Source organism: Homo sapiens, chromosome 15 (genome assembly GCF_000001405.40).
Source record: "Homo sapiens chromosome 15, GRCh38.p14 Primary Assembly".
NCBI classification, from domain to species: domain Eukaryota; kingdom Metazoa; phylum Chordata; class Mammalia; order Primates; family Hominidae; genus Homo; species Homo sapiens.
This window is the reverse complement of record NC_000015.10, coordinates 25,722,162-25,746,773: the sequence shown is the minus strand read 5'-3', so window position 1 is coordinate 25,746,773 and position 24,612 is coordinate 25,722,162. Positions and strand designations below refer to the sequence as shown.

Below are 24,612 nucleotides of genomic sequence, written 5' to 3'. Positions count from 1 at the left end.
TTTACAAAAATATTTTTCTTAATTTCTCTCGTGACTTCTTTTCTTTGACTAATTGGTCATTTAGAATTGTATTACATAATTTCAAAGCAAATGGGACTTTTAGTAATTTTCTTTTTATGGTGAATTCTGATTTAAGTTAATCCTATATGAATTTAGTTTTTTGAAATTGATTGATACTTGCTTATGGCACAGAATATGGTCAGTACTTGTCAGTGTTGTGTGAGTACTTGAAAAACTGTGTTCTACAGCTCTTGTGTGCAGTGTTTTATACGTGTCCATTAGGTTAGTTTATTAATAGTGATGCTCAAATATATAACTTCCTGGTTTTTTGACTGTTTTATCAAATACTGAGAAAGGAATGTTACCAAGTTTGTGGATTTGTTTTATGTCTCCTTTGTTTCTGTCAATTTTTGTAATATATAATTTGAGTTTATGCTATTAGGATTATATAAATTTAGACATTTTTATTTTTCAAATGAGTTGAACTTTTTAATTCAAATTAATGCTTTTTATATAGAGACATGCTTTTTGATTTAATACTATATTATCTAATATTAATACAGGCACGCTAGCTTTCTTTTTGTTACTCTTTGCCATTTATATCTTTTTCAGCTTTTCACACTTTTCTAGTATCTGCATGCTTTAGGTCTTTCTTCTCGTCAATATAGTCTTGAGTTTTTAAATTCAGTCTGACATAGTTTTTGGGTTTTCATTAAAATATTTTTCTTGATCCACTTTTAAAGTTACTACTGGTATATTTGAGTGTGAAGCATCCATTTATTATTTTTATTTGTCCTGCCTGATGTATTCTTTTTTCTCTCCATTTTTGCCTTCTTTCTGATTCATTGAGTTTACCATGCTTTCTTTGGTTGGTTCGGAAATTATATGCTTCTTACTATAATATGGTGGTTACATGAGAGATTACAACATGCATCTTTGACTATCAGTATTAAACATTAATTGATTTGTATTCTCTTTCTGAATAATTCAAGGGCCCTTTTTAAGCAAAAAACATCTTTTTATTCTCTTCCAACTTACATACTCTTGTGTTTTGTAATTGTATCAGTTTATGAATTGCCAAAGACATTATTATTTAATACAGTCAACATGCTTTTATATTTACTTTCTTATTTACCGTTTTTGTTGCTTTTCATTTCTTCCTGCATCTTAGTCCTTTCATCAGGCCAATTTCCTTCTCTCTCTCTCTTTCTTATAGCAGAGATGGGGTCTTGCTCTGTTGCCCAGGCTCATCTCAAACTGCTGGCCTCAAGCAATCCTCCTGCTTTGGCCTCCCGAAGTGCTTGGATTACAGGCATGAGCCACTGTGCTTGGCCTCCTTCTCTTTTAACACTACTGTTTAGTATTTTCTTTAGTTTTTGTGTGCCAGTAACAAGTTTTATCAATTTCCCTTTTTTTTTTTTGAGACGGATTCTTGCTCTGTTGCCCAGGCTGGAATGCAGTGGTGCAATTTCTGCTTACTGCAGCCTCCGCCTCCTGGGTTCAAGCTGCAACCTCCGCCTCCTGGGTTCAAGTGATTCTCCTGCCTCAGCCTCCCAAGTAGCTGGGATTACAGACACGTGACATCACACCCAGCTAATTTTTGTATTTTTAGTAGAGTTGAGATTTCACCATGTTGGCCAGGCTGGTCTTTCAAGACCATGACGTCGTGATCTGCCTGCCTCAGCCTCCCAAAGTGCTGGGATTACAGGCGTGAGCCACCGCGCCCGGCCCCAATTTCCCTTTAAGAGTTTATTTTCTTTGGTTTTCATCATTTTAGTGTCATGTGCCTAGGTATAATCTCCCTTCACAGACCCTATTTAAAAGTTCTTGCATCTGCGGTTTGTTGCTTTTTAGTCAGATTTACTACATTCTCAGCTATTATGTATTCAATAATTGCTCCTGCATCATTCTCTCTCTCTTTTTCTTCTGGGGCCCTGATTACACACGTTAGACTTCCCTCTATCCTTTATGGTTTCTTCCCTGTCTTCTGTACTTCTCATCCTTTCATCTTCCCATGCTTAATTCAAAACCATTTTTCTCATGTTTCTTGTAGTTTGCTAGTTTTCTCTTTGTGTTTGCCAAATCTGCTAATAAGCCAGGCAGTCAGCTTTTAATTGAAAATTTCATGTGGGCTCTATATTTTCGAAATCTCTAAGGTCACATTTTATAATTTCTAGCTGTTGTAAAATTTCAGGTGCATCTTTAGCTTTATGATCACAGCAAGCATGATTTTAAACTTCCTGTGGATCTGTTCCTATTCTTGTTTTGTTGGTTCTTCCATGATGCTTTACATCCTGTTATGCCTGGTTATCCCTGAGTCTGTGTCTGACATTGTACCTGGAAATTGATTTTTTACAAATAATTTGAGGCCTTGTATTTCATATATATATACACACACTCACACACATACATGCACACACACATACATGTGCACACACAGACACACATATATAAAGAAGACTTTTGCTGGTTTTGTTTAGTATCTAGGGGTTCTAGCAATTTGGAATTATTATACTCCATTTTTCACATTGAGATTTTTCTGGGCCACTCAGTTGACTCTAAGCTGGGTAGCAGCTGCACAAAAGGAGCTCAGCAGTGTTCTGGATGTGTTTGATGCAGTGGCACCGTGTTGTATTAAGTTCCATGTTGAAGCTCTTTCCCGCAGTTCACCTCTGTGATGCCGTTCTTCCTGGTTGCGTTAGAAAGCATAGGTGTTTATCAGGCCCCTCTCTTGGTAGGTTTTATAGTAGACAGAATAGTGGTCCCCCGAAAGATGCCCACATCTTACTCACCTAAACCTGTGGATATGTTATGCTACATAGCAAGCAGAAATGGAGGTTGTAAGTGGAATTAAGGCTGTTAATCAGACCTCACTATCAAAGTGATACAGCGTGAGACAGACTCAATCCCCGCACACTGATGACTTTAAAAATGGAAGGAAGCCATAAGTCAGGGAATGTGACTTAAGAAGCTGGAACAAGCAAAGAGATGCATTCTCTTCTAGAGCCTCCAAAAGGAACACAGCCCTGCCAACTCCTTGACTGTAGCTCAGTGAGACCTGTTTCCAACTTTCGACTTCCAGGACTGCGAGACAACAAATGACTGTTGTTTTAAGCAACCACATTTGTGTTCATTTGTTACAGCAGCTACAGGCAACTAATATAGGCCCCGAGCACCAACATGTGTCTCATGAGCTCCACTCAACCTCTTAACTACATCTTGCAGAAGCTGTAGACCCTCCTCAGGGAAAAGAAACCTCAAAGCCCAGCCTCAACTCTGGATTTTTGTCTTTTTATTTCTTGGCTTGCTTATTCTTCACTTTCTTGTTAAATCCTTCATACCTCCAGGCAGCTGTCTTCAGTTTTCTGTCCAGCATCTCTGTTTGCCAGTAACTAGAGGTTTGGTCCAAATTGCCCAGTCGTCTGGTGCTGGATAACTTTTCTTTTGAATCTGATGACTGAGCAGATCTGGTTGTGCTTTAGAATTTCACATTTCTGTTGCCATTTCAGTCTTGGAATCATTCCCCAGATTAGCGCAAGAGGTTTTTTCTTAGCTGACCTCTTTTTGTATTCTCCATCCCAGTTGGCCTCTAAAATAGTAGTATGGTCTTCCTCTATGTGGCTACCAATGGCCCTGTGGTCCATGGAACTCTGCCTTTAGGGTCCCTTTTATTACAAATACACTGAGGCTCCAGACCCCTCTTACGCTGTGCACAGAGAGAGCACCTTTTCTCCAGCAAGGCTGTCTACTGAGTGAGCGCTAAAGCATGACACGTTCACACCCAAAAGCCGTGCCTCTGCTCACACCATCACCCCCACCTGTAGTGATGGAAGAGGCACTAAGTGGCCTGTGGCTGTGGAAGCAGACAGACTGATGTGGATCTCACTGTGCTAATAGCTCAGCAGAGGGGCTGCAGGCGGGTTTCATGCAGGGACACCCTGTTGGATTAAGTACAAATACGTTCAAGAGGGCAATTTTAACGAGCAGCCCTCATCTAGGTTTGAATTTGGTGTTCTGTGAAACAACTCTCGTTACCTACTGCCTGAATGCACAGCCAGTTCTTAGGGACTCTTAGGTGCATTTGACGGAGGAGAAAGCAAGGCTTTGCTGACAGCCACAGCCCACTGAAACAGCATGGAGCGTTTGGGGCCAGGAGGGAAAGAAAGGGTTTTGATTTTGAGACTTCAAACTCTAACCCCGCACTGTGAGCCTTTGAATTTTGCCACCATCTACCGAGGCTTTTTGACTGTGCGACAGTCAGGAGGCAAGGGGACAAAAGATGAAAGGCAGAAAAGGCAAGGGGAGGCTGGCGCCTGCGTTCTAAACTAGAATTTAACAAGGGAAAAGCTGCCTTTCTGCTCAGAAACTAAGGGAGGACCACTTGATCTCTAACACTGGTGCTTGCGGCAAGAAAATCTCCAGTTAGAAAAAGAAGGCAGAACCCAGACACCCCTTGATCAGTTTCTCTGAGGCGTGAGCCTCCCAGAAGCCACCTGTGGACCTGTGTGAAGCTGACTCTGAAAGAGGACTGCGGAGGCCTGGATGCCAGTTCTCATTGTCCCTGTCAGCTTGTCACCGTGGAGACGAGAACCACGTCAGGCAGGGACGCAGCACTCTCCGTCACATGCTGTGTGACGTGCAGTGGAGTGTCCCGCCATGAGCGGCTGGGCCAACCTACTTATCACTTCCATATTTGGGATACCTTAAATAATACAATCACAGCCGCTATTATAGATTACATTGCTGTCTAAATGGGTTTCATGCTCATTTCTATTCAGTATTTGTCACGGGGCATTAACCCCTAGAGTAACACTGAATCTGTGGAACTTGGAGAAATTATCACTTTGAGTTAAGTTTCCTTGTACGTTCGGTGTTTCTTGCCACCAGACGCTTTCACTTGGGTATTTATTTATTATTTATTTTTTCAATAAATAACTGATTGAGTACCCACTATGTGTCAGGAGACACGTGGTGGACAAAAACAGACTACTTTGCTGTTTCAGTTTAGCAAATTGAAAATGTTCACCTGACAATACAGTCTTGGCAGTGAAAAAGTAAATTCACTCATTCGTTCAGTATTGGGATCGGGCCATCTGCCCTCCTTTGAATTTCCACAGCACTGACCATCAAGTGGTAAATACAAATTAGATTGAAATACAAAATAATAATAATAGTAATAATAAAGAAAGTACAAAACAAAAGAGTTGGGGTAATTATTCCATTAATTTGGGTTAAAATGCTTGACTTAATTTAATGAAGGCATTCTTTACCCATGATCAATAAGTAAGGAGCTAAGGAGCCGGATTAGAGGCTATGTAGAAATCATTTTGTATTGCTGCCAGGGGAAAAGAGCCCGCACTTTAAAAAGAGGAACTATGCATTCTGGAACCACAGAGACGCCTCAGCAGGCCCTCTTGGGAGATGGTGCGGCAGGCAGGGGCTCTAGGTCCCCAAGAGCCCAGCACGGAGTTCTGGGGTGATCCAGAAGCTTGTGGCACCTGAGATCCTTCTGAAATAAGCATTCGTCACCCTCTGACCATGTGTGTGCCAGGCACTGTGATGGTCTCAAGGGCACAGAGTACCTGTGCTCAGGGAACCTGTGGTCTAGTGAAGGAGGAATGGGAGCCAGCTCCAGCCACACCCAGGAAGCACGGGGTTTGATGTCTGCATGGGGACTAAGCAAGTTCGGAGCTGTGGCACCTGCCTACCCTACCAGGGGGCCGTCAGGAAGGCTTCTCCAGAAAAGACAACATCCTGAAATGCTAAATGAAGGGCACTTCGCCTGATGCTGTAGGATGGCAAGACAGAGGAAGCCATGCAGAAAGGTTTGGGCTTCCTCAGGGTTCCCTGCGTGGCAGGAATGGGTGCTGGGAGGGATGGTAGCCGAGGAGGTCAGCGCAGTGACCCTGAGCAGAGCTTTGCTGTTGCACGGGATGAGGATTGCATTCTGTAGGGCAGCAGCTGTCTCCAAGGCTTTGTTAAGGTGGAAAACTTCTGTGATCAGACGGGGATCATTCAGTCCAGGGACAAACAGGCCCATAGCAGGTGGCGAGACCAAAGCCAGGTAGACAGAGGTGTTGTGTTTGTCACTGAGAGCCTTCGAGGACCATGTCCAGGCGTGATGTCAAGGCTGGAAGTGAACCAGGGGGACCTCACCCTCCTTGTGACCTGGGAGTATCATGAAGGGAAATGCAAAGGGCGTTTTCAGAACGGGATCCAGATGCAGAAGACGGGAGTGTGTGTGTTTTCCACGTCTTCTTGCTGGTGCAGGCGGTGGCCCTGCCTGGCTGGCAGGTGCTGGCCCCTGCTCTCTGTGCATTCTCTCACCAGGGTTCTCTCTGCCCACATCATCCAGAGACCCAGACAGGTGGCCTCACTCACAGATTTCCACCTGGAGCGTTAGGCAGGGTCCCTGCTGGCAGCAGACCTGCAGATGACCCAAGTGTGCACCTGTGCTGTGTGCTCACCCAATGGCTGAAGCAATATGAACCTCTTTACTTTAGTTTTTTTATGATAGAAAAAAAATAACAGTATCCTCTTTAATGGACTGTAAATGCCCTTTCCAACATCACTGCTGTTTCAAGATGGAGGACATCTGTATTTGCTTTTGTTGAGTACTTAGTAGCAATTCACTTAATACAAATGTGAAATACAAGGTTGGTAACAGAATCTCCCCTGTGAATCAAACCATTCATTCAAGTAGCAATCTGGGCACTGCTGAATTAGACACACGCCTCCCCCATGTGGTTGAAGAGGGGACACAGCTGTTCTACCAGGAGGAGGTCCCAGGCATCAGGAGGAAACAGAAGCATGCCGCAGGGCTCTGGGCATCCCTGGAGCACCTGCTGCTGCGGTCTCTAGCAGAAACGCAAGTTCAGGGGCAGGGCTGGAGGGCTCTCTGTTGCACCACTGTCCTGCCTCTTTCTTTCCACCTAGTCAGGTCAAATCACTTTGCCCAAAGAAGTTTCAGAAATATCTGTAAGACAACAACAGAAACTGTGAGCACTTTCTTTCTTGCCGGTGAGATATTTATTTGAACATGTTGCTCTGCAGTGGGCGAACCCTTCACGGTGTCTGCTTCCTTTTGTCTGAGATGCTGGGGTGCTGCAGCAGAGATGCAGAGGGCAGTGCTTCAGCTTGAGGCTGGCATGTGTGGGCAGCACTTTTGCAGGTGATGCTGTTTCTGCAATAGTGAGTCTGTCATCCCAAGCACAGGGATTCATTGGAACCATCTCTGCATCCTACAGGATTGTGGACTTATAGGGCAACAGAGACCCCGGAGATCCGAGTCCAAATGCCCTCTCTTCACTTGCCAAAAGTCTCATATTTATTAATCAGAAGAACTAGCACTAAGTCCCCGGGCTCGCTCCTGATTTTTTACTCTGTTTTTGAGTGGGCTCTGGTAAGCCCACATCCACAGGCATTGCTGAAGATGGAAAGAGGGTATCTATGATCAGATTAAGGTATGTTGAGCTGAAGCATGTTTTCAAAATACTAAAACTTAAATTTTGGAAACTTAGAACTTTAAAAAGCAATTAAGGCCGAGTGCAGTGGCTCACGCCTGTAATCCCAGCTACTTGGGAGGTTGAGGCAGGAGAATCGCTTGAACCCAGAAGGTGGAGGTTGCAGTGAGCCAAAATCCCGCCACTGCACTCCAGCCTGGATGACAGGAGCAGAACTCTGTCTCAAAAATAAAAAATAAAAAGCAATTTAAATTTTGGGGGACGTTTCTATAGAATCTGTTACACATTTTCTGGCTTACTTGTACAATCTTTTTCTGTTAATGCCAGATTGTCTCTGCAGGTATTGATGGTTGAGCTGATAGCTCAGAGGCCAAGAAAGCTCCAGTCTGTCACTCCAAGACCACTGTGACCTTGGGCACGATACTTAAAGATCCTAAGTTGAAGGTGGTGCAAAAACTGACTTTCTAGCAGGGTTGCCTGATAATTGTAGGGCACTTAGCACAATGCCTGGCATTTGGCAAGCCTCCCCAAACTTGTAATTATGTTGATGGTGATGACGATCAGAATGGCAGTGCCCTCACGAATTACTGGCGAGGGAGACTTTATGTACTTGTACTGAAAGGTGCCAGATTTCTGGTCTATGTTCAACTTGATGATTATTTCATTTCTTCTCAGTCAATTCTCAGAGTTGGTTTATATCCACTTAAAAATGTTTAAATTGTGTCTCCCATCCAAGTACTGACCCTGCTTAGCTTCCAAGATCAGTCAAGATTGGATGCATTCAGGGTGGCATGGCAGTAAATGAAATTTTTTATCATGGCAAAATATGCATAACACAGAGTTTACTATTGTAATCATTTGTGAGTGTACAGTTCAGTGGCATTAAGTTCATTCGCATTGTTGCGCAACCATCACCACCATCCATCTGTAGAACTGCTTCCTCTTCCCTAGCTGGATATCTGCTTTTTAAGAAGAATGGAGTTAGTGTGCCCAGAGCAGAAGGGTGGATCGGGGGCCTCTACTTTTGTCCATGCTCCAGGGGGCAGGTTGACAAGTCTGACTGATGGATAACTTGGGCATGACCTCAAAGCTGGTTTGGAATGAGTCAGGGGTAGACATGAGTGGATGGAGGGATAAATCAATGTATTTCCTAAATGGGGAGTGTTGTGTGTTGCCTGTTGTTAGAAATAAGCAATGTAAACAGGATTTTCCTCATCCAGAAGGTGTGCTCTGGATATGAAATGCTTTTTAAATGAGAAACTCAAAGATGGTCTCTGTATTCGTTTACTGGGGCCTCATTGATGAAACACCGCAGACTGGGCTGCTTAAGCAACGGAAGTTTATTTTCTCACAGGTCTGGAAGCTGGACATTCGGGAGTAAGGGGTCAGCAGGATGGTTTCTTTTGAGGCCTCTTTTTTTGGCTTCTCCCTGTGTCCTTGCATGATCTCCCCTCTGTGTGTCTTTGCGTCCTGATTTTCCCTTTGTATAAGGCCGCCAGTCATGTGGGATTAGGGTCCACCCTGATGACCTCAGTTTAATTTAGTTACCTCTTTAAAGACTTCCTCTCTAAATAAGGGTACGTTCTGAGCTACGTGGGGTTAGGACTTCAATATATGAGTTCTAGCGGCGGATGAGGGGCTCCAGTTCAGCCCATGCCAGTCTCTAGAGATCCCTCCAGTTCTAAAAATCCTCCAAATCCTCCCCAGTTCCAGAAGGATGCAGAGGAAGCCAGCCGTCCCGTGCCTGGGACCTCCCCTGCGCACACTCCCCAGGGCATGGGATTGTTGGTAGAACATTACAAACACAGCTCTGAAGTCCCAGAGACAGAATGTCCTACTGTTTCTGAGCCATGTCCATGACATTTTTCTTAGAGAGAAAGAATAATAAACAGAGACAAAATATTTTAAGTCCTACCCTCCTCGTCTGCCAAGAATAATCCTGGTGTTCTCTGGAACTCACTGCCTTCATGGCCATCCTGTACTTTGTATCTGCAAATGTCTGCCCTGGAAAAAGCCATCCACTGGTTTCAAGATAATCCACAGGCTTTAAATAAACACAAGACTCCTTGAAACAGAGCCCTGCTCTGGAAATAGAGCGAGAGGCCATTTCAGTCCAAGGAGAAGAGAGACTGATGGCTAATTACACTCCAAGAAGAGCCTTTTAAAATAGCATTTCAATTTCAGTTATTGAATCGAGCTACGATTATCTAGCACACGCCCCTTTTAATGTACGCTTTACACTGGGAAACAGTAGGAACTGAGTTTTGAGTAATTACCTTTATGGCTGTATTCTATGCAGGGAAATGTGTGGTTGCGGCAGAGCCATAGTTAACCTGGGGTGGTGTCAACAGTGTTTATGCCATTTCTATAATTTTTAACCACCTTCACTTTTTGTATGTGTCATTAAAGACAGTTCAGTTTTTTACCATGTTATGACACTTGCTAGATTAAGTAGAATGCCAGGCCTGACCAGAGAGCTGATAAAAAAGAAATCCACTAATTGTGCTCGTTTATACTGAAGGCTTATTCCCTCCATTTCTCTCCCTTCTTCCTCCTTCCCCCCACTCCTAAGCCTTTCTTATGAGCCAGGCTCTGTTTTATCTATCAATGGAAAAATTCTAAAGACATTTTTGTGGTGAGTTGTCAGGGTTTTTTTTTAATTGAGCAGAATACTAAAGAAGTTGTTGGCTCACTCATTGGCTATGTAAATCTTTTTCATCAAAGATCCATGAAGATCATGTAGTGTACGTTGAAAAAATAGAATTTATTATAAGCTCCTGTTTTCCAGGTGGAATTTGCTTCCCTAAGTCTGTAGAAATGGGCAAGTGCCGTGTGTCTTAAAAAACTCATTCATCCCTTTGCTTCATTGATGGCCTCCTTTGCTTTATCGCCTGTTCTCTCATTTTGCAATAGAGCTGCAGTCATTTCTGCTCACTTACTAACCAGTAACCAGTACCGGTCCCCCAATTGTCACTCGTTATAAAATGATTAACTGTTATTTATTATACAGTGGAGAAGGCGTTGCTTTGGCTTTCCAGAGAGATTCATAGGCAGAGTTCTTCCCCCGTGAAATGTGCCTGCCGCGGATGCGAGACAGAAAAGCGAGTGCCTTTTAGAACGGCGCAGCCTGAGCCCGGATTTCTCTAATGTCTACGTGCTGTTATTTTAGGTCTCCGAATTCAATCCTTTGACGTTCACCAGCGTGATCGAATGCGAGAAGCCAAACAACGACCTGAGTAGGTTTCGCGGCTGCATGTGAGTATCGTGTGTCTGCCTGCGCGCATCCTTCTGTTTGATAACTACATAGGCAGGTGTTTACACATTCTCAGTTATAAAGTATGCATTTAATACTCTTTGCCACATGGTGTAGCTGTTTGGGAATGTGGCCCAGCACCTGAGCCTTCTTGGCTGCTTTTGGAAGTAAGAGCCTGTTGTCAGTAGTGGGTAAGAGCCTGTTGTCAGTAGAAGCTTGCCACTACCATCTGTGAGGAGGAGGTACCGCTTTTCCTCCCGCTAGCAGGCCCCGGGTAGGTGATGGGTGTGACAAGAGATGTGTAGCTGACCACACATGGCCCCGTTAACGTGGAAGCAGGAGTAGGCCGGGTGGAGTTTCATGGATATATGCTTCCACTCAGTCACTGAACACGTATTTATTGATACCTGTTACATGCTGGGTGCATTCAAGGCACTGGATGTAATGTGGTAAACTGAATAAACAGAAGTTCCTGCCTTTGTGTTTATTTCATTCTAGTTTGGGGGAAAGAAAGACAATTAAAACAAATAAGCATAACCTAGAGTGTGTCTAGTAGGCCAGCCCCTTCCTGCTCCAAAACAGAAAGACAGGTGGATCAGGGCACAGGCCTGGCCCTGTGTTGGCACTTGCTGAAGCCACGTGATGGGGAGTAGTAGAAACCACCTTCATGTCTGTTTGAAAATTTCCATAATAATCGGAGTGTGTGTGTGTGTGTGGTCAGTGCTGTGGGCAAAAACATGGAAGAGAATAGGCAGTGTCAGAACGGAGTTGCTGAGTGGCCTGCCAGGGCCCTTGGGGATGGTCTTCTGGAGAACAAGGCTGTGACAGGGGCATGACGCACATGACCTTCCTCTGCCCTCAAGCTCTGTTCCAGCTATCATGCCTCAGCCACCTCCCGTGGGCTCAGCCCTCTCGCCTGCAGCACAAGGGGCCACCTCCTGGCACTGTCCTGCTTGGAGGCAGGGATGGACTTTTGACGCCTGCAGCCGCTGAATGGCCCAGGCAGTGGGCTCGCCTGCCCCACCCACTTCCCCCACCCCCCCACCCCCCCCCCGCTCCCACCACGCAGACATACGGAGGCGTGGGAGCGATCTGCTTCTGGAAGTGGCCCCATTTCTAAGAGCTTTCGGTGTAGGTTGAGTCTTCTGTTTTGCCAGCACCTCCAGCATTACTGCCTGTGCCCAGCACACAGTGGCAGGCGGTAGGGCTGGGGATGACCCAACGGAAGTGAACTCTGCACAGCAAAAGCTGAAATGTGTCTGCAGCCAAGTGATGGCCCCGTCACCCACTGGAATTGCCCTTATTATCTGAGAATCAGACACCGATAGCATTAAATCACCCCTTAAATAAGCCAATTAAAGCAGGGTAAAACTCAACAACAAAATGTAAGCATATAACCTCTACGATTTGGGGAGGAAATACTCAGCACAACCCGTGTGCTGTGGCTTTTCTGGTCTTTCTTGACTCCTGGGCCATCTTCCCCAGGCCTCCTTGATCCCTTGCCCCAAGAGTTTGTGTGCAGGGCACCATCCTCAGCACTGCTGGGAATCCCCAGGCACGAGTTGGCTACAGAGAGCAGGTGCTGGGTTGCTAGACATCTTGACCTGAAACAATGATTGTGAAGGGTGGGGCGAGGGCAATCTCTGGAGAATGTTCAGTGGTATCCCTGGAATAATTTTACGGTGCCAACTCCACCAAAAAACATAAATAAATAAGGGGCCGACTTTCTCTTCTGAAGACTGCACTCCTAGCTCATTGTCCTTGGTGTGACAGGGCGGTGCCTGGCAGTGGAGGCACAGCAGGGACAGATACGAAGGCCTGCAGCCTGCTGGATCCACAGAGCCTAGGAAAGGTGACGGCCCTCTGCTGGGGTGGACGAGAGGGGCGGGGTCCGGTGCAGGAGACGGGAGGAGCATTGTATTGCTCAGCCACTGTCTCTAGCAGTGTGGTGAGGACAGGAGTCTGGGTGGTGTCTCCGCCCTGCGCTCAGCCCCAGCACCTCACTGCCTCCCACATGAGGCCCTTGCCTGGCTGTGTACCCCCAGGCCTGGCTGCACTCCCCCCGGGTGCCGGGGAAGATGCCTCTTGAGTGGGTGTCATCTGCCTGCAGCCAGCCAGCCAGGCCCACCGGGGCTTCTCCAGCCTGTGCCGCCAGCAGGCGTTCCTCCTGTGGTGTCCTCACCGGCATGTTGCCCGAGAAAGGGACATGAGAAGAGCAGCTCTCCCAGCATGAAATCCTTTCCTGCTTTGCCCTCAGTCATGTCGTGTTGTCTCCTCGTGTACTCCACCCATCGTCCAACCCTGGTAGCCCCCTTGTGGCCTGGGCACAGGCACCATCTGGGCCAGTGTGCGCCCAGCCAATTCAGGCCTCTCCACACCTGACGCTCTTTAACGATAATTCGCCATCTCCACCAGCCGGGGTGTTCTGGGCTTGCCACAGGGCTGTCAGGGCCTGGATGGCCCCTCTCCCAGCCAGACAGGTCAGGAGGGGCCTCTGGGGGTGGAGCAGCAGTGTGTTAATACTTGCCCCCGTGACTGTGGGGCACGACCAAGGGGAGCAGCCCTGCCCCGGACCATCAGCCTGAAGGGGACTGGGGCAGCCTCGCAGTGAGGAATACTCCCGGGGTAGGAGTGCTCCCTGGGGCTGGAGTGCTCCCTCGGGCAGGAATCCTCCCTCCTGTAGGGCCTGGTAACGCTATCCGTCCCAAGCAAAGAGAAAGGAGGTCTTAACCCCATACCAGTCCTGATGCCCAGGGCAGGGAGCTAAGTTGGGAGGTAGATCTGCTGTCTAGGCTCAGGAAGTGGCTCAGCTGCAGAGCCACCTCCCTGGTTTGCTTCCTCCCACTGGCCTCCTTGCAGCCTCCATGAGGCAGCTGCTGCCCCGTAACCTCCTTCACACCACAGAGCCCAGGAATGCCGGCAGATTTGCTTCTTTTAGGACCTGCCATTCCAAACTTGAAACATTAACTGTTTGCACTTGGAGAACAGAACTGAGTTTGGGTTTGTAGCAAGAAGACCCAAGTCTGAATACAGGCTCTTTCTCTTCCCTGGGAGGTGGCCTTAGGAAAGTTATTCTGCCTTTCTGAGCCCCGGCCTTCTCCTAATCCTGGAGGTATCATCGACTGCCTGTCAACCTCACAGGCTGACATGAGAGTCCAGTGAAGGAATGAAAGTGAAGTACAACATGAATTAGAAGGTGTCGTGGCCGGGCGCGGTGGCTCACACCTGTAATCCCAGCACTTTGGGAGGCCGGGGCGGGCAGATCATGAGGTCAGGAGATCAAGACCATCCTGGCTAACACGGTGAAACCCCGTCTCTACTAAACATACAAAAAACTAGCCAGGTGTCATGGAGGGCGCCTGTAGTCCCAGCTACTCGGGTGGCTGAGGCAGGAGAATGGCGTGAACCCGGGAGGCGGAGCTTGCAGTGAGCCAGAATCACACCACTGCACTCCAGCCTGGGTGACAGAGCGAGACTCCATCTCAAAAAAAAAAAAAAAGAAGGTGTCGCATGTGAAATGCTCACAGTAGGAAAATCTTAGACACAGAAAGTGGATTGGCAGTTGCCAGGGTTTGGGGGTGTGGAATGAGATAGGAATGGGAAGTGACTGCCCGTGGGTCTAGGGTTTATTTTTAGGGTGATGAAAATGTTCTCGTTAGCTGGGTGTGGAGGTGCACTCCTATAGTACCAGCTACCTGGGAGGCTGATGTGGGAGGATCACTTGAGCGGGGGAGGCAGAGATTGCAGTGAACCGTGATTGTGCCATTGTACTCCATCCTGGGAGACAGAGCAAGACCCAGTCTCAAAAAAAAGAAAGAAGAAAATGTTCTCATATTAGCTGGTGGTGGTAGTTTTACAACTCTGATGATACAAATACAAACAGAAAAAAAATTAGCCTGTGCAGTGGCTCATGCCTGTAATCCTTTGGGAGGCCTAGATGGGAGGTTCACTTGAGGTTAGGAGTTTAAGAGCAGCCTGGACAATGTAGTGAGACCTTGTCTCTACAAAAATCACACACACACACAAAAATTAGCCTGGTGTGGGTGTGGTGGTGCACACCTGTAGTCACAGAAACTCAGGAGGTTGAGGTGGGAGGATGGCTTGAGCTCAGGAGGTCCAGGCTGCAGTGAGCTATGATCACACCACTGCACTCCAGCCTGGACAACAGAGCGAGACCCTATCTGAAACAAAACAAAATACAGAACTCTATGAACTTTAAATGAGTGAACATTATAGTATGTGAAATATATCTCCAGCTGGCAGAAAAATAGTGCTAGGAGCCTCATTATTCAAGTGCCCTTTAAGGCTGCATTCTTTGGAAGGATCCTCATATAGTTAAGCCCTAGCGAAATCTTCAGAGTTAGGATCTGGAAGTAACATCGTTCCCCACCTTCTCCAGCTGTTCCCAGCACTCACTCCTTAGCCCCAACCCTGAGATGTCATCTCCCAGAGAGGCCTCCTGGGAATGGAGGCCTGGCTCAGCCTGACCCTGCTGATTGTGCTCAGCCAACTTTATGGCATGTGGTCACCTCTGAAGCCACAAATCAATCAAACATTTGCACTTTCCCCTAAAGAATAAAGCAAAGAGGTTGGCTGGTTAGTTGGTCATCCAATGTAAAATTCCATTTCACATTGTAAAGCAGGTTCCCTAGTTCTCTTTTCCGATCTGTCAATGTTTGCTTTATATACTTGGGTGCTTTGATATTGGATGCATACATATTTATAATTGTTATGTCTTCCTGCATAATTGACCCTTCTTTGTCTTGTAGGATAGTTTTTGACTTAGTCTATTTTGTCGGATACAAGTATAGCCAACCCTGTTCTCCTTTGGTGACCATTCTTACCCCACAGAGCAGGCTTCTGACCTGGAGAGCCTCCTACAACCGCATAGGGCCGGCACGAGCACCAGCTGCATTTTGGAGTAGGCTCTTCGCCCTGGTGGGTGACACCCTTCAGAGACGGTGGTTAGTAAAGACAGCAGGGCTGTCACTAACAACAGAGCTGTCAGGGTCCCTGCCCCCTCCTGCCTGGTGTCTGGTTGGAGCCTTGTGTGGGCTGTATCCAAAATGTCTTTACTGCCAGTGACCAAGCATTAAATAAACTGCATCAACTAGACTCATTAAAACTGGAATGTTTTAATTTCGCCTTGCCACCTTTAGTTGACATATTTATATCTTAAAAATATTGAACATCAGCACAAAACAGTCTGGTAATTTCCACACTTACTTTTGTTAGATATGAACATCTGATGATTTTATACAGAAATATTTATTTATTTTTATTTATTATTTATACAAAAATATGAACATCTGATTATTTTAAAGCAAATTCTGCCCAGGATTTGCCAATGGAAGGAATTATCTGTCATTCCTTCCTCCCAACTTATGTCAGTCAGGACCCACTTAGGAAGCCGACTGAACACCCTGATTCATATAGATGAGGAAGGATACTTGGTAAGGGTGCATCTTTGCTAAGGTGTTTCTGCAGGAGTGGGTGGGTGTAGGGGACGCATCGGGGACAGAGCAGATGCTAGATTAGTGGCCGCTGAGCAGTCACTGCCATGAGGCCCCATGGGGAAGAGTGGCCCTGGGGGACTCATGACCAGGGAGATGCCTGGGGAGACTCATAGCCCTGGTCAGGGGACACTGCCAGCCAGTGCTGCCTCTCTAGGAGGGAGCAGGGAATAAACTCCCTGTCCTTCCTTCCTTCCTTCCTTTCTTTCTTTCTTCTTTTTTTTTTTTTTTTTTTTTTTTTTTGAGACAGAGTCTCACTCTGTTGCCCAGGCTGTAGTGCAGTGGCGCGATCTTGGCTCACTGCAACCTCCACCTCCTGGGTTCAAGTGATTCTCCTGCCTCAGCCTCCCTGAGTAGCTGGGATTACAGGTGTGTACCACCATGCCTGGCTATTTTTTTTTTTTTTTTGTATTTTTAGTAGAGACGGGGTTTCGCCATGTTAGCCAGGCTGGTCTCTAACTTCTGGCCTCAAGCAATCCTCCCGCCTCGGCCTCCCAAAGTGCTGGGATTACAGGTGTGAGCCACCGCGCCCAGCCTACTCCCTGTCTTTTCTTGCTCTCAGCCACTCCTCCAGTGTCCTTCCTGTCATCCCCCACTGGAGGGACCCAGCTCAAAGCCAAGGGCCGGGCAGCCTTCAACGTTTGCCAGGCTCTGAGGTAGGCACTGGGGTGTGCAATGGATAGGACATGAGCAGCTCCTGTTTGGAAGCAGAGACATGGAAGCAGATGGAATACTGCCGGCTGGCCTGGGTGGGGGGCCTGGGAGTGTGGCATGGAGGACTGCCCTGAAGGCGGCAGAAGCTGAGCCCAGGCCGGAAGGCCGGGCTACCTCAGGCAGAGGCTAGCACAGAGTGGACAGAACATGCTGTGTGGGGGTGGCTGGGGCAGAAAACCACAGAAGCCACCCCTTCTGTGGGCCAAGCAGGGGCTGCAGGGTCGGCTGGTTCCCACGTCAAGCTGGAGCAATGAGGAGTCCTGCAGGGGACACTCACAGGCGCACACTCGAAGATTGCTCCGGTGCCTGTGTGAGGAACCCACATGAGGAACCCAGGCCAGTGGAGCTGAGGCCAGCAAGCGTGTGTTGCCGGCTCCAGCAGAGAAATGCAGACGCCTGAATCAGAGCAGTGCTGCATGGAGATATACAGAAGAGGGCATGGATTAAAGACACAGCCAGGGAGATGAGGTTGAATGGATGTAAAAATGGGGGAGGAGTCAAGGACACCTGGTGACGGGGTTTCACCATATTGATCAGGCTGGTCTCGAACTCCTGACCTCAAGTGATCCGCCTGCCTTGGCCTCCCAAAGTGCTGGGATTACAGGCGTGAGCCACCACGCCTGTCCAAAGGACCTCATTTTAACTTAAGGATCTCTTTAAAGACTCTGTCTCCAAATACAGCCATATTCTGCAGTCCTGGGAGTTAGGGCTTCACCAGCTGAATTCTGAGGGGACACGGTTCAGCCCATGACAACGGAGCTGACGGCTCACGTTCTTGTGTGTGTCTTTGTGGAGTTGAGCCTCGTACCTGTGTGCTTCTGGGCCTGTGTCGCCCTCGGCCGGGCCTCTCTCTCTCAGAAGCCCAAGGCAGCCTCTAGCCCAGGTACCAGGCACCTGATGGTGATGTCGTTCTCCAGCCTCCCCTTTGTGTTGTGGGCTGTTCACGCAGGAGTACGTTCCCAACCCCTCGCATTCGCTCTTCCTTCTGGCATGGACCTGTATAGGTCGATGCACCTGTGTAAGGTGCCAAGTTGCCGTCTGGCTTGGACTCATCAGAAATCACAGTAGTTGCTCAAAAGTCAGTGTCACAGTGAAGAACATTTAATGTAGAACATTTTTCTTGTTTCTATAAAGTTTATCGTTTGTCCTTAATAAGCATAACCTGAACTCGGAGACGATTTGTTATTTTCTACTGTCCCAGTGCAATGGTGTCTTTGTCTGGCTTTCGCTGGAGAAGTCCACGGGAGACACGTGATAGGGGGTGTCCTCACTCCACAAGCGCAGAGCAGGGTTTTGTACCTAAGGATATCTCATACCTGCCAGGCTTTTGATGCTGTGGCTGGCAAAGTGGTTTGCCGTCTCGAATCTCTCTTTAAAGGAAAACCTTACTCCGTCTTGGCATTGCCAAGGGAGCAGTAGACACGGCGTTGGCTGAACGGCCCTTGAGTGGCCCCACTGTGTCTGCTCTGGCGAAGAACCCTTGCTGTTGGTAAATAACTGACTTGTGGAAAATATATCCTCCCAGCTTGCATTTCAGCCTTGCCTTTACTGTTTAGCTTCTCTTCTTCACTAGGACATAGGTTTATTTCCCTGGTCAGAAGGCCAATAGCTGGCAGGAGGGAAACCCCTGCAGGGGTCCCTGGTGAGACGCTAAGAGCCATACAGGAAGCATGTGGGCTTGAGAGTGTGGGGAATGCGTGCGGAGAGGGGGTGTGGGTGTGAAAAGGTAGCCTCTCGGAAGGCACTCCCTTGGTGGCCCTGCCTGGCGTGGGTTAGGCTGGGCCCCTGCTGTTGTTCTGGAAACCTGGAACCACAGCAGGCCTGGGCTACAGTTCCGGTTATGAGGCCTCCCCCTGTGACCTGTGCTCTGGCCCCTGGGGCCATATCTGTCCCAGGGCGGTCCTAGCCCAAGACTGCCCAGCCAGCCTGGGTCATCAGTGGGCCCGGAGGACAAGTTTGAAAACCAGTAGCTTAAGCTTAGACTATCCCTCTGGATCTAAATAGCAGTAAAACAGAATTTATAGAATTGTTTCATGGAATTTACCACATTTCAGACCACATATATTAATACTTCTAATAACTTTATAACTTCTTGTAAGAGAAAAGGATGTTAAAAATGAAACCAATATCGTCCCCTTTTGTAGAAAGATGTTTGTATTTTTATGACAACTTGAGACTGATTAGGAGTAACATTTCCTGTGTTGAGCAGGAGATGTACAGAGACCACGTAGCAAGGCCTTCCTTGGCCGGTTGGGAGTTTGCCCTTCCTAGTGGTGATCAGTCCCGGAGTGAAAACAAGTCTATCTGCAAAACAAATAAACACCAGGCTCTAGAGCTGCTTCTGGATGCCTAGTGACTGGTGAACAGCAGTTCTGTCTCAGCTCTTGCAGAGACCCACAGGGCGAGCCACCCACTCTCGGGGGCCCCCTGTACCCTTCCCAGTCCAGATCCCAGCGGCCCCAAGCTTTCATTGTGTCAGGGCCTTCCTTCCTCAAGGCATTGCGGCTCCAGACATGAGGCACAGGCCTGCAACCACGTGACATGTGCCAACTGTCCCTCTACAGCATACATGACAACGGGAAAAAGGCCGGGCTGTATAAAGAAAACCTGCTGCTGAGGGGCTGCACCCTTAGGAACACGGACGCAGTCGTCGGCATTGTCATCTACGCAGGTAGGCTCGGGCACCTGGCACCACCTGCCGCCAGACAGCGCTGTGTTCTCCAGCACTTCCCCTCACTGTTTTCTTTTCTTTTTTCTTTTTCATTTTTTTTTTTTGAGACGAGTCTCGCACTGTCGCCCAGGCTGGAGTGCAGTGGCGCGATCTCGGCTCACTGCAAGCTCCGCCTTCCGGGTTCACGCCATTCTCCTGCCTCAGCCTCCCGAGTAGCTGGGACTACAGGCGCCCGCCACGCCCGGCTCCTTTTTTTTTTTTTGTATTTTTTTAGTAGATACGGGATTTCACCGTATTAGCCAGGATAGTCTCAATCTCCTGATCTCGTGATCCGCCCGCCTTGGCCTCCCAAAGTGCTGGGATTACAGGCATGAGTCACCGTGCCCGGCCTCCCTCACCGTTTTCTAAGAGTAGCATGGCTGGATGTGGTGACTCACGCCTGTAATCCCAGCACTTTGGGAGGCTGAGACGGGCAGATCATGAGGTCAGGAGCTTGAGACCAGCTTGGCCAACGTAGTGAAACCCCATCTCTACTAAAAACACACAAAAAATTAGCTGGGCGTGGTGGTGCACACCTGTAGTCCCAGCTACTAGGGAGGCCGAGGCAGGAGAATCTCTTGAACCTGAGAGACGGAGGTTGCAGTGAGCCGAGTTTATACCACTGCACTCCAGCCTGGGCAACAGAGTAAGACTCCATCTCAAAAAAAAAAAAGAAAAAAAGCATAACATATCCCCATTGTAGAACATTTGGAAACTAGGAAAATGGAAAGGAGCAAAAGCAAAAATTCTTTGAATAGTACCTCAACCCAAAGCCTTCTTTCTTGGCACGGTAGTGTATTTCTTTCCATTTCGTTCTCCACAGTCATTATATATGTATAAGATTAATTTCATTTTATTTTATTTATTTTCAGACCTGTTCAACAGGAAGTAAGATTAATTTTAAACCCTGCTTTTTTGACCAAGCTTCTCACCTAAGCACCACTGAATGGCAGCATGGAATTCCCTCCACGCCATCCATGCAGCTGGTCCCTTAGCTCCAGTCTCTGACTTGCCATGTCTCTTTGTCCTCCCCGACAGGACATGAAACCAAGGCTCTGCTGAACAACAGTGGGCCCCGCTACAAGCGCAGCAAGCTGGAGAGGCAGATGAACTGCGACGTGCTCTGGTGTGTCCTGCTCCTTGTTTGCATGTCTCTGTTTTCAGCAGTCGGTAAGTCTCCTAGATGGATCGGAAATGAGTGGGGGCCAGGCGCAGTGGCTCGTGCCCGTAATCCTAGCACTTTGGGAGGCCGAGGCGGGCAGATCACTTGAGGTCAGGAGTTGGTGACCAGCTGGCCAACATGGTGAAATCCCATCTCTACTAAAAATACAAAAAAAATGTGCCTGTAGTCCCAGCTACTCGGGAGACTGAGGCAGGAGAATGGCTTGAACCCGGGAGGGGGAGGTTGCAGCGAGCTGAGATCGCACCACTGCACTCCAGCCTGGGTGAGAGAGTGAGATTCTGTTTCCAAAAAAAAAAAAAGAAAGAAAGAAATGAGTGGGCTCCAGGTGAGCTTGGTGGGCTGCCCCCAGACATGCAAACCTAGCACTCAAAAATTAAAACCCCAGTTTTTCACTGACTTGAACTCAAGGGCAGCCTGCATCAGCACAGGCCACATGGAAACGCCTGGGTGAATGGGCATGACAGAGTATAGCTGTCCTTCGGTATCCATGGGGGGTTGGTTCCAGGACTCCCCCTCTATAACAAAATCTTCAGATGCTCAAGTCCCTGACATGAAGTGGAATAGTATTGGCATATAACCTACCTATACCCTCCTCTATACTTTAAATCAGCAGTCCCCAACCTTTTTGGCACCAAGGACTGGTTTTATGAAGACATTTTTTCCACGGATGTAGGGGTAGCAGAGGATATGGTTTAGGGATGAAACTTTCACCTCAGATCATCAGGCACCAGTTAGATTCTCATCAGGAGCGTGCAACCTAGATCCCTCCCATGCACAATTCACAATAGGGTTCGTGCTCCTGTGAGAATTGAATGCTGCCGCTGATCTGACGGGAGACGGGGCTCAGGTGGGAATGCTCACTCACCTGCCACTCACCTCCAGCTGTGCTGCCCAGTTCCTAACAGGCCATGGACCAGTACCAGTCTGCAGCCTGGGGATTAGGGACCCCTGCTTTAAATCACCTCTAGGTTACTTATAATGCCTAATACGATGTAAATGTCATGTAAATAATGGTTATACTGTGTTGTTTAGGGAATACACACAGATATAATTTTTTTCTCCTAATATTTTTGGTCCATGGTTGGTTGAATCCACGGATATGGAACCCACAGATACTGAGAGCTGACTGTAATGTTATTTTCTGAACTGACGATTTCTTAGTGGAAGAATGCTTTCATCACAGCGGTGGTGGTAATTCCAGGGGAAGAAGTATCAGTAACCTGGTGCTAAACTAAGGCTAATAGCAGGAGAAGCACAGATGTTACTAATGGGAACTTCATGAAAAGAGAAACAAAAAATGGCTTTGGATCCTAAGAAGGGACTAGCAGTTAGGTTCCATGTAGGGCTACACCAAGTGGGTGTGATGTGGTCTCAGCCCAGCGGCATAAGTTACAGATGTACAGGACATGAAAAAGGCTTCTGTGACCAGACAGGTGTGGGTCCAGTGGATTAGGCAATGTGCACTACTGTTGGCTTCCCAGAGCCTCCCATATGTGAATTGTGAATCTCAGGAAAGGACAATAATGGCAGTGTCTGAGCCTACTGACTGTTTTTTTGCTGCGCATTTCATGAGACAGGTATTTCGTGAGATGCGTGTTAAGAAATTCTGTCTTGGCGCCTCACACTGTCAGCTGCCAACACGCGGGTAGCTCTGTGTTGGGACAAGTGGTGCCACTTAGCACCAACAATGGGAAACTCTCAGTGTAAGGAAGAGACCAGGTCCCACCTCCTTCCTGAAGTTGGATCGAAGGTGCTGAGAACATTGTGTTTTCGCTTTCTGACATGGCAAAGCTGAGTAAGAAAACCAAATGTGCTTGCATCAGGTAACAAATATTAAAGTTTTGCTTTAATATACGCTAGCAATATTCTTATTTTTCCATTGGATGAATGACATTTCTCTTTGAACATTACTACAGGACATGGACTGTGGATATGGCGGTATCAAGAGAAGAAGTCATTATTTTATGTCCCCAAGTCTGATGGAAGCTCCTTATCCCCAGTCACAGCTGCAGTTTACTCATTTTTAACAATGATAATAGTTCTGCAGGTAACAATACTAAGTATCGTACAATAATTGCTTTACTTTTATGAAGAGAACTTAAAATCATCATACTCTGTTCAGAATTTCCTATAAATTCTGCATCTAGGAAGATGGCAAATATATCTACCTGGAGTTCTGCCTTTTATTTTTCAGCCTAAATCACCAATGGGATCTTTCCTTGGGTGATTTTTAAGTTAAAATTCTCCTTTTCTGTTCTTAAGGTTCTTGTGCTTTGAGGGTTTGGTTTGGGTCACTGTTTTCATTTTGTTGTTTTTCCTTTCAGTTACTTTTAAAAAAAATAGATTTTATTTTGGGATAATTTTAAGGTTTACAGAAAAGTTGCAAAGTCATTGCAACTTTTCTGTAAATCTTAAAATTACTCCAAAATAAAATTTAGTTTTCTAAATAAATTTTACAGAGAGTTTCCATGCATCCCTCACCCACTTTCCCCTAATGTGAACATATTACATTGTCATGGGACATTGTGAAAACTAAGAAGCCAACTTTAGTCCTTCACTTTGTTTTTTTTTTCTCTTTTTCTTTTTTTTTTTAGACAGAGTCTTGTTTTGTCGCCAGGCTGGAGTGCAGTGACACGATCTTGGCTCACTGCAACCTCCACTTCCTGGGTTCAAGCAATTATCTTGCCTCAGCCTCCCGAGTAGCTGGGATTACAGGTGCATGCCACACACCTTGCTAATTTTTGTATTTTTGGTAGAGATGGGGTTTCACCATGTTGGCCAGGCTGGTCTTGAACTCCTGACCTCAAGTGATCCACCCACCTCGGTCTCCCAAAGTGCTAGGATGACAGGCATGAGCCACTGCACCCGGCCTAGTCCTTTGCTTTGAACAAAACTATAGCCTTCTTTCAGATCCCACTAGTCCTTCCATAAATGTGCTTTTTCTCCTCCAGGATTTAGTTGAGGTTATCCACATTGCATTTATCTGCACTTGCTATTGTTACTATTATTATTAATTCGCATGCCTCCCTGACACCTCCCAGTCAATGCCTGGCTATCTATGCCCAGAAAGGTCTGTGAAAGAGTGGGGAGGGTCCCAGAGTCCAGAGGACGAGGGGGCAGTGGGGTCACTACCAACCTTCCTGGGAACTGAGTGACCAGAGGACATTGGCTCAGCCTTTGCCTAGGAGGGAACCTTTGCTGTCTCGTATATGTGCTTCATACAACAGGAAACAGTCTTATTTAACTGTCTAAATTAGTTTTCTAAATAAATGCAAATTTTGTTCTAGCCTCGAGTTAGGACTGTAGCTGGTGTTTGATTAACGTACTTCAGTTCCCAGGAGAACCCAGTTAGTCTGTGCGTGATATTCTGAGTCTGTAAACATTAGTCCAATACTGTTACTCTACAAAAACAAATGAGTAAGCAAACATTAATATCGAGGAGAATTGTTCTTAAATTATGGAGGCATCACTGAATGTTTTTCTCAAAGCCTCTTTCCCTTTCCTCTGCATTGTACAAGAAGAGCACAGAATCACAAGGCCAGCATCTGAAAAAAGACTGTCTGTTGTGTTTGCACTGCCCCCTGAACTTGGGGTTGTATCCCTGGGAAATGGGAGCCCAGGGAAAGCCTGGGGGTCGAATGCCACCATGGAGTGTGGTGTGAGGTGACCTTGCTTATGAGGACTGACTGTGCCATGATTTTTTTTCTCTTTTCTCTCTTTCCTGTCCTAGCTTCTCTCAAGCACAACTTGCTTGCTTCTATCCAAGCCATGGGTAC

At 47.1% G+C, this 24,612-nt stretch overlaps 1 protein-coding gene and 1 pseudogene across 10 annotated transcripts in view; one reads left to right on the top strand and one right to left on the bottom strand.

Moving 5' to 3' along the window:
• Positions 1–24,612, top strand: part of ATP10A (ATPase phospholipid transporting 10A (putative)) — a 192,852-nt gene that overhangs the window by 118,315 nt on the left and 49,925 nt on the right. For 8 of the 10 annotated variants that reach the window (XR_001751368.2, XM_011521828.3, XM_005268261.5 and 5 more), the window contains 4 exons: positions 10,633–10,718; positions 19,508–19,614; positions 20,692–20,823; positions 22,753–22,883. Coding sequence is in view for 9 of the 10 variants with exons in the window: in XM_011521828.3 (XP_011520130.1) it covers positions 10,633–10,718; positions 19,508–19,614; positions 20,692–20,823; positions 22,753–22,883 (456 nt within the window). In the remaining variant the exon portion in view is untranslated. Of the gene's footprint in view, positions 1–10,632; positions 10,719–19,507; positions 19,615–20,691; positions 20,824–22,752; positions 22,884–24,612 lie in introns of those variants that run through there. The other 2 variants (XM_011521829.3, XM_047432892.1) reach the window with 2 other exon arrangements.
• Positions 8,154–8,266, bottom strand: RNA5SP390 (RNA, 5S ribosomal pseudogene 390; annotated as a pseudogene).